Genomic DNA, 9067 nt, shown 5'->3' with positions numbered 1-9067 from the left:
TCGTGATCAAGTAGGCTGCCTCCTTAGGATGCCAGGTTGGATCAGCACATGCAAATCAATAAATGTAATTCATCACATAAGCAGAATTTAAAAAAAGACAGGATTATCTCAATAGATGCAGAAAATAATAAGAGCCATCTATAACAAACCCACAGCCAACATTCCGCAGAATGGGTAAAAGCTGAGAGCATTCCCTTGAAAACCATTACAAGGCAAGAATGCCCTCTCTCACCATTTCTATTCAACATAGTATTGGAAGTCCTGACCAGAGCAATCAGGCGAGAGAGAGAGAGAAAAAAAAGAGCATCCAAATAGGAAGAGAGAAAGTCAAACTATCGCTGTTTGCAGATAACATAATTCTATATCTAGAAAGCCCTGTAGTTTCAACTCCAAAGCTTCTTTAGTCAATAAACAACTTCAGCAAAGTTTCAAGTTACAAAATCAATGTGTAAAAATCACTAGCATTTCTCTACACCAAGATAGCAACACTGACAGCCAAATCAGAAAGGCCATTCATTCAAAATTGCCACAAAAATAATAAAATATCTAGGAATACAGCTAACCAGGGAGGTGAAAGAGCTCTACAATGAGAATTACAAAACACTGTTTGAAGAAATCAGAGAAGACACAAACAAATGGAAAAACGTCCCATGCTCATGGATAGGAAGATCCAATATGACTAAAATGGCTATAGTGGACAAAGTAATTTACAGATTCAATGCTATTCCTATCAAATTACCAATGAAATTCTTTACAGAGCTAGAAAAACTATTTTAAAATTCATATAAAACCAAAAAAGAGCACAAATAGACAAGGCAACTCTAAGCAAAAAGAGCAAAGCTGGAGGTATCACATTACCTGACTTCAAACTATTCTACAAGGCTACAGTAACCAAAACAGCATGATACTGATACAAATACAGGCACATAGACAAATGGAATAGAATAGAGAACCCAGAAATAAGGCTGCACATCTGTGACCATGTGATAATTGACAAAGCTGACAAAAACAGGCAATAAGGAAAAGATTTCTTATTCAATAAATGTTGCTGGGATAACTGGTTAGCCATATGTGGAGAATTGAAGCCAGACCCCTTCTTTACACCATATACAAAAAAAATAAATAAATAAACTCAAGATTGATTGAAGACTTAAATATAAAACCAAATTGTATAAAAATCCTAGAGGACAATCCAGACAATAGAATCTTGGACAGGAATGTGCAAAGATTTCATGACAAAAACACCAAAAGCAATAGCAAGAAAAACAAACATTGACAAGTAAGATCTAATTAAACTAAAGAGCTTTTGCATAGCAGAAAATAAAGCTATCAACATAGTAAACAGATAACCTAGTGAGTGGAAGAAACATTTGCAAACTATGCATCTGAAAAAGATCTAGTATCCAGCATCTATAAGGAACTTAAATTTACAACAAAAGAAACAACCTCATTAAAAAGTGGGCAAAGGACATGAACAGACACTTTTCAAAAGAAGACATACATATGGCCAACAAGTATATGCAAAAAACCTCAGCATCACTGATTGTTAGAGAAATGAAAATTTAAACCATAATGAGATGGCCAGGTGTGGTGGCTCACGACTGTAATCCCAGCACTTTGGAAGGCTGAGGCAGGCAGAACACGAGGTCAAGAGATCGAGATCATCTTGGCCAACATGGTGAAGTCCTGTCTCTACTAAAAATACAAAAATTAGCTGGGTGTGGTGGCATGCACCTGTAGTCCCAGCTGCTTAGGAGGCTGAGGCAAGAGAATCACTTGAACCTAGGAAACGGAGGTTGCAGTGAGCTGAGATCGTGCCACTGCACTCCAGCCTGGTGACAGAGTGAGATTCCATCTCAAAAAAGAAAAAAAAAGAAAGAAACCACAATGAGATGCCATCTCACACTAGTCAGAATGGCTATAGTTAAAGAGTCAAACAATAAATGCTGGTGAGGTTGTAGAGAAAAGGGAACTTATACACTGTTGGTAGGAGTGTAAATTAGTTCAACCATTATGGAAAGCAGTTTGGCAATTCCTCAAAGAGCTAACAGCAGAACTACCATTCAATAGTTCTGCTTGCAATCCCATTACTGCGTATATTCCCAGAGACATAGAAATTATTCTACCATAAAGACACATACATGAAAATGTTCATTGCAGCCCTATTCACAATAGCGAAGACATGGAATCAACCTAATACTATCAACCAAAATACTATCAACTTAAATACTATCAGTATGGAGTATCAACCTAAATACTATCAGTAACAGGTTAGATTAAGAAAATCTGTCACATATACATTATGGAACACTAGCAGCCATAAAATAAAGAGATTATGTCTCTTGTGGCAACATGGAATGTAGCTGGAGGCTATTATCCTTAGCAAACTAACACAGGAACAGAAAACCAAATATCACATGTTCTCAGTTGTAAGTGGGAACTAAATAAGAACTTAGGAACTCAAAGAGGAAGACAGCAGACACTGGGGTCCATTTGAAGTTAGAGGGTGGGAGGAGGGAAAGAAGGAGAAAAGATAGCTATTGGGTACTGGGCCTAATACCTGGATGATAAAATCATCTGTACAGTGAACCCCTGTGATATATGTTTACTATGTAACGAATCTTCACATGTACCCCCAAACCTGCTGTAAAAGTTCTAGAAAGTTAAACTTTAAAAACTCTTAGGAAAAAGCATATGCAAAAATCTTATAACATTAAATTTGGTGATTGTTTCTTGACTGTTACACCAAAAGCATAGGACACAAAATAAAAAACATATAAATTGGACTTGATTAAAATGTGAAACTTTTCTGATTTTTTTGATAAGAAAAACACTCTGTTGTTCGTGTTTTTTGCTACCAAAAAAAAGAACTCCCACTTCTACTAAAATTTGTACAAAAAGCATGAACAACAGAGTGAAAAGACAACCAGCAAATGGGAGAAAAGATTTGAAAATCATGTATCTGACTAGGTACATAAGGTATAATATAATAAGAAGAATATATAAAGAACTTCTAAGACTCAATAACAAAACAAAACAACAACAGCATTTATAAAAAGGAAGAGGACTTGAATCTATATTGAGTCAATAAGTCTACAGAAAAATGCTCAGCATCACCAGTCATGACATGCACATCAAAACCATAATAAGATACCACATTACATCTATTAAGGTGGCTATATAAAAACCAAAACAACAAAAATGAAAAAGTACTGGCTAGTATGTAGGGGAAGTGGAACCCTGGTGCATGGCTGGTGAGAATATAAAATGGTTTATAGACTGTGACCAATAGTTTGGCAGTTTATCAGAAAGTTCTATATATAATTACCATATGTTTCAGCAGCAGGTGGAACACTTCCATATGTCTCAACTAAAGGTGTATCCAAAATAATTAAACGCAAGGACTTAAGCTGCAACCTGGGCCTCTGGGTCTTAAGCGATTCTCGTCCCTCAGTCTCCCGAATAGCTGGGACTACAAGGATGTATCACCATGCCCAGCTAATTTTTATATTTTTAGTAGAAAGGGGGTTTCACCATGTTGCCCGGGCTGGTCTTGAACTCCTGAGCTTAAGTGATTTGCCCGCCTCAGCCTCCCAAAGTTTTGGGATTACAGGTGTGAGCCACCATGCCTGGCCTCTGTTATTCAATCTAAGAACTGCATGCAGAGATGTGTTCAGCTTTTTAAATTTTATTCACTTATGCACTGATACTTTCACACCAATTTTTATAGCAACATCATTTACAGTACAAAATGTAAAAACAAATCCAGATATCTTCTAAGAGATAAAGAGATAAAGAAAATGTGGTATAGACACCACACAACAGAATATTATTTAGCCTTAAAATCAATGCAATGCTGCCGGGTATGGTGGCTCATGCTTATAATCTCAGAATGTTGGGAAGCAAAGATGAGAGGATCTCTTGAGCCTGACAATTTGAGACCAGCCTGAGCAACATAGCAAAATACCATCTCTACAAATAGTACAAAAATTTGCTGGCCTTGATGGTGTGTGCCTACAGTCCCAGCCACAGGGGAGGTCCATCTGAGTCAGAAGGATCACTTGAGCCTGGGGAGGCTGAGGCAGCAGTGAGTCATGATTGCATTTCTGTGCACTCCAGTCTGGGTGACAAAAGAGAGACTCCATCTCAAAAAAAAAATGCAATGCTGATACATGCTACAACATGGATGCACCTTGAAGACATTATACTATGTAAAATAAGCCAAATACAAAAGGATAAATATGTAATGTCAAATTTTGTGTATAGGGGAATGCTATATGAGGCTGGCTCATTCTGAGCAGGAGCAGATTGTTGGGATGTTAGAATACTAGTGGCTCATTATGTTTACACACCAGATCATGGCTGGCAAAGTCGGAAGGCAAGTGCTGCTGTGGGTACCCATCTACCTCAACTGATTGTTCTGAGCCCTTGAGCTGTTATCTAGTGACTTCCAAGGCTGAAGGTCTGTATAGACATAATTCTATGCCTCACCTGGCGAGCAGAAAGTTGCATGGTGTATAAGGAGCAGCAGTGATGGCCAGAAATAGCTCTGAGGCTTCCATATCTGGCTGCCAGTTACTATCTTTGCAGAGCTCCACACAGGAGATTGGCAAAAACGTATTAATGGGGTAACACTCTGTTTCCTTTGGTGTGGGGCAGAAGCTTGCTGTTGCCAACAAGGGCCAGCATTGAAATGAGGTGAGTGGAAGAACAGAGGGTTCTCCAAACCAGCCCAGAAATGGCTGAGAAAGTCCCCCTGAGCAGACAGAGCCATGACAACTCTAAAGGGCTCTGTCCCATATATTAACACACACACTCTCACACACACACACACACACACACACACACACATATATATGAATACACACACACAGAGACATAGATGTAGATATTTATTCTATTGCTTCTATTTCTCTGAATAAGTCTAATACAACCTGTAACTAGCAAAAGACTGCATACGTTATCAAAAATATACTAACAAGAAAAGTCCAGAATCAGATGGCTTCACTGATGAATTGTTTTAAACATTAAAAGTTGTAACTCCAATTTTTCTCACTCTAACAATTGCAATTAGTCAATGCAATATACCAACTCAATAGAATGAATTTTAGAAAAAAACGTGATCACCTCAAGTGATAGAGAAAAAATTTGAAATAATCCAAAACACTTTTATAAGAGCACCTAGTAAACTAGATATAGACTAAAACTTCCTGAACATAAAAAAGGTACATATAAGAAACTCAAAACTACCGCTACATGCAATGGTGAAAGACTAAAAACTTTCTCCTTAAGATCAGGAACAAGACAAAGATAGTTGTGTTTATCACTTCTGATCAAAATTGTAATACAAATCAGGTCAGAATAATTGAGCAATACAAGAAAAGAAACACTCCAATTGGAAAAGAAATAAGCTTATTTCTACATATAGATGTTATAATTTTATATATATAATTAAAATCCTCAGTAATAATGAAGCTGTTAACATTAATAATCAAATTCTGCAAAGTTGTAGAACAGGGGGTCAATACATACACATTAATGGAATAAAATTAAGAGTCAGGAAAAAAATCCATACATGTAGTTTTTTTTTTTTTTTTTGAGATGGAGTCTCACTCTGTTGCCCAGGCTGGAGTGCAGTGGCCCAATCTTGGCTCACTGCAATCTCCACTTCCTGTGTTGACTCTATTCTCCTGCCTCAACCTCCGGAGTAGCTGGGGCTGCAAGCGCCTGCCACCATGCATGGCTAATTTTTTGTATTTTTGGTATTTTTTGTATTTTGGTTTCATCGTGTTAGCCAGGATGGTCTCGATCTTCTGACCTCTTGATCCGCCCGCCTCAGCTTCCCAAAGTGCTGGGATTACAGGAGTGAGCCACCGCGTCAGTTCCCATTCATGTAATTTTTTTAACATGGACTTGGCAAAGCTGCAGGAGCTATTGGAAATCATTTAGTTCATGTATTTTAGCCCATTTTTTATTTTTTTTTTGAGACAGAGTTTCACTCTTGTTGCCCAGGCTGGAGTCCAATGGCGTGATCTCGGCTCACCGCAATCTCCACCCTCCAGGTTCAACTGATTCTCCTGCCTCAGCCTCCCGAGTAGCTGGGATTACAGGCATGCGCCACCACGCCCGGCTAATTTTGTATTTTTAGTAGAGACAGGGTTTCACCATGTTGGTCAGGCTGGTCTGAACTCCCGATCTCAGGTGGTCTGGCCACCTCGGCCTCCCAAAGTGCTGGGATTACAGGTGTGAGCCACCGTGCCCTGCCAACTCTAACCATTTCTTGAAATTGGGTTGCTTTCTTATGCACCTTGTAAAAGCCTTTCCTTCATGCCCCTCGGGTGGACCACAAATCATGGCTGGGTGCTTTCCATTTCACCAATCACTGTTTGCTCAAATAAAGTGGTTAACGTTTTAACATGGAATCCCCTTTTATTTTTAACAAGAGAGACTGGGGACGCCCCGGGCTGCAGCTCCTCCGACGCACACACCGAGTGGGGGTTCTGCCCTGATGACCCACCTGGCATCCCCGAACAATCTGGGGAATACTCGCACTGTGGGCGCACAGCAGGACGCCACGCAGGGACGGGACCGGAGGGCATGAGGCCGGACACGGGGGTCCCTGCTGCTGGCCCAGCCACCATCTTGCAGGCACAGGGGACTGAGGGCCAAGCTGCGCCAGAGACTTGGAGATGACTGTGGGGAGGCCGGTCCTGCTGGTTTCACAGCCTGCTCTCTTCTCTCGGGGTGCCGAACCCCCTTACTCACCATTTCCCAGCTTCCAGGATGTTCTGGTATCTTAGCTATGCGTCCCCAAGTACCTTCAGATTACAGGGCAAAAGAGATTGTGAGGAAGGCCCCATGGAGCTCCCAACATGGAGAAGGTGGAAGAGTAGAGATGGATCCCAAGTTCTGGCGCCAGGGAGAGAAAAAGTTCCCGCCAAACACTGGAAGCCACGCCCTTCCTTCCTCTCCAACTGCGTGCCTGATTGGGCTGTTCCCACGCCACCGCCACCGATTGCATAAAGCTCCAGGGCCCACCCACTCCCCCCCCACCGCCACTCCCCCTCAGCCTTAGTGCCCTTTTTTAAAAAAAAACTTTAAGTTCTGGGATACATGTGCAGAACGTGCAGGTTTGTTCCATAGGTTTACATGTGCCATGGGGGTTTGCGGCACCTATCTTGAACTCCCGACTTCAGGTGATCCGCCCGCCTCCACATCCTAAAGTGCTGGGATTACAGGCGTGAGCCGCCCTGCCCGGCTGCTGCGCCTATCAACCCGCCATCTAGGTTTTAAGCCTCACATGCATTAGTTATTTCTCCTAACGCTCTCTCTCTCCTTGACCCCCATTCTCTGACAGGCCCCAGTGTGTGATGTTTCCCTCCTTGTGTCTATGTGTTCTCATTGTTCAACTTCCTTTTATGAATGAGAACATGTGGTGTTTGTTTTCCTGTTCCTGTGTTAGTTTGCTGAGGATGATGGTTTCCAGCTTCATTCAAGTCCCTGCAAAAGACATGAACTCATCCTTTTTTATGGCTGCATAATATTCTATGGTGTATATGTGCCTCATTTTCTTTCTCCAGTCTATCACTGATGGGCATTAGGGTTGGTTCCAATTCTTTGCTATTGTAAACAGGGCTGCAATAAACATACGTGTGCATGTGTCTTTATAGTAGAATGATTTATAATGCTTTGAGTATATACCCAGTAATGGGATTGCTGGGTCAAATGATATTTCTGGTTCTAGATCCTTGAGAAATTGTCACACTGTCTTCCACAATGGTTGAACTAATTTACCCTCCCACCAACAGTGTAAAAGCATATCTATTTCTCCACAGCTTCACCAGCATCTGTTGGTTCCTGACTTTTTAATAATTGCCATTCTAACTGGCATGAGATGGTATCTCATTGTGGTTTTGATTTGCATTTCTCTAACGACCAGTGATAATGAGGTTTATGTTTTTTGGTCGCATAAATGTCTTATTTATTTATTTATTTATTTTAATTTTTGAGACTAAGTCTTGCTCTGTTAGCCAGGGTGCAGTGTAGTGGCAGGATCTCGGCTCACTGCAATATCCACTTCCCAGTTTCAAGTGTTTCTCCTGCCTCAGCCTCCCAAGAAGCTGGGATTACAGGGGCACACCAAAAGGCCCAGCTAGTTTTTTGTATTTCTAGTAGAGAAGAGGTTTCACTATGTTGGCCAGGCTGGTCTCATGATCCTCCTGCCTCGACCTCCCAAAATGCTGGGATTACAGGCCTGAGCCACCTCGCCCAGCCAAATGTCTTCTTTTCAGAAAAGTCTGTTCATATCCCTTGTCCACTTTCTGATGGTGTTTGTTTGTTTTTTTTTTTTCTTGTGAATTTGTTTATGTTTGGATATAAGACCTTCGTCAGATGGATAGATTGCAAAAATTTTCTCCCATTCAGTAGGTTGTCTGTTCACTCAGATGATAGCTTCTTTTGCTGTGCAGAAGCTCTTTAGTTTAACTAGATCTCATTTGTCAATTTTGCTTTCTTTGCAACTGCTTTCGGTGTTTTAGTCATGAAGTCTTTGCCCATGCTTCTGTCCTGAATGGTATTGCCTAGGTTTTCTTCTAGGGTTTTTATGTTTTGGGGTTTTACATGTAAGACCTTAATACAGCCAGGGACAGTGGCTCATGCCTGTAATCCAGGCACTTTGGGAGGCTGAGGCAAGCAAATCACAAGGCCAGGAGTTCGAGATCAGCCTGGCCAACATGGTGAAACCCCATCACTACTAAAAATACAAAAAAATTAGCTGGGCGTAGTGGTGGGTGCCTGTAATCTCAGCTACTTAGGAGGCTGAGTCAGGAGAATTGCTAGAAAGGTATTTCTCTTTCTATTTGAAAACGGAGGTTGCAGTGAGCAGAGATCACTCCACTGTACTCCAGCCTGGGCAACAGAGTGAGATTCCATCTTAAAAAAAAAAAAAAAATCACAAAACAAAAAAACTTTTTTTTTTGTTTTTTGTCTTTTTTTTTTTTAATTCTTTAAGTTTTAGGGTACATGTGCACAATGTGCAGGTTAGTTACATATGTATACATGTGCCATG

At 40.8% G+C, this 9067-nt stretch overlaps 1 annotated feature.

The window, feature by feature from the left end:
• Nucleotides 6900-7194: an enhancer, noted in NCBI's record as "tiled region #1983; K562 Activating non-DNase unmatched - State 1:Tss". NCBI's record gives its function as "activates a minimal TATA promoter and a strong SV40 promoter by Sharpr-MPRA in K562 cells {active_cell/tissue: K562}" and the evidence as "EXISTENCE:reporter gene assay evidence [ECO:0000049][PMID:27701403]".

This window comes from Homo sapiens, chromosome 12, assembly GCF_000001405.40.
Source record: "Homo sapiens chromosome 12, GRCh38.p14 Primary Assembly".
NCBI classification, from domain to species: domain Eukaryota; kingdom Metazoa; phylum Chordata; class Mammalia; order Primates; family Hominidae; genus Homo; species Homo sapiens.
Note: the sequence above shows the minus strand (reverse complement) of the source record. Positions and strands in the feature narration are given on the sequence as shown.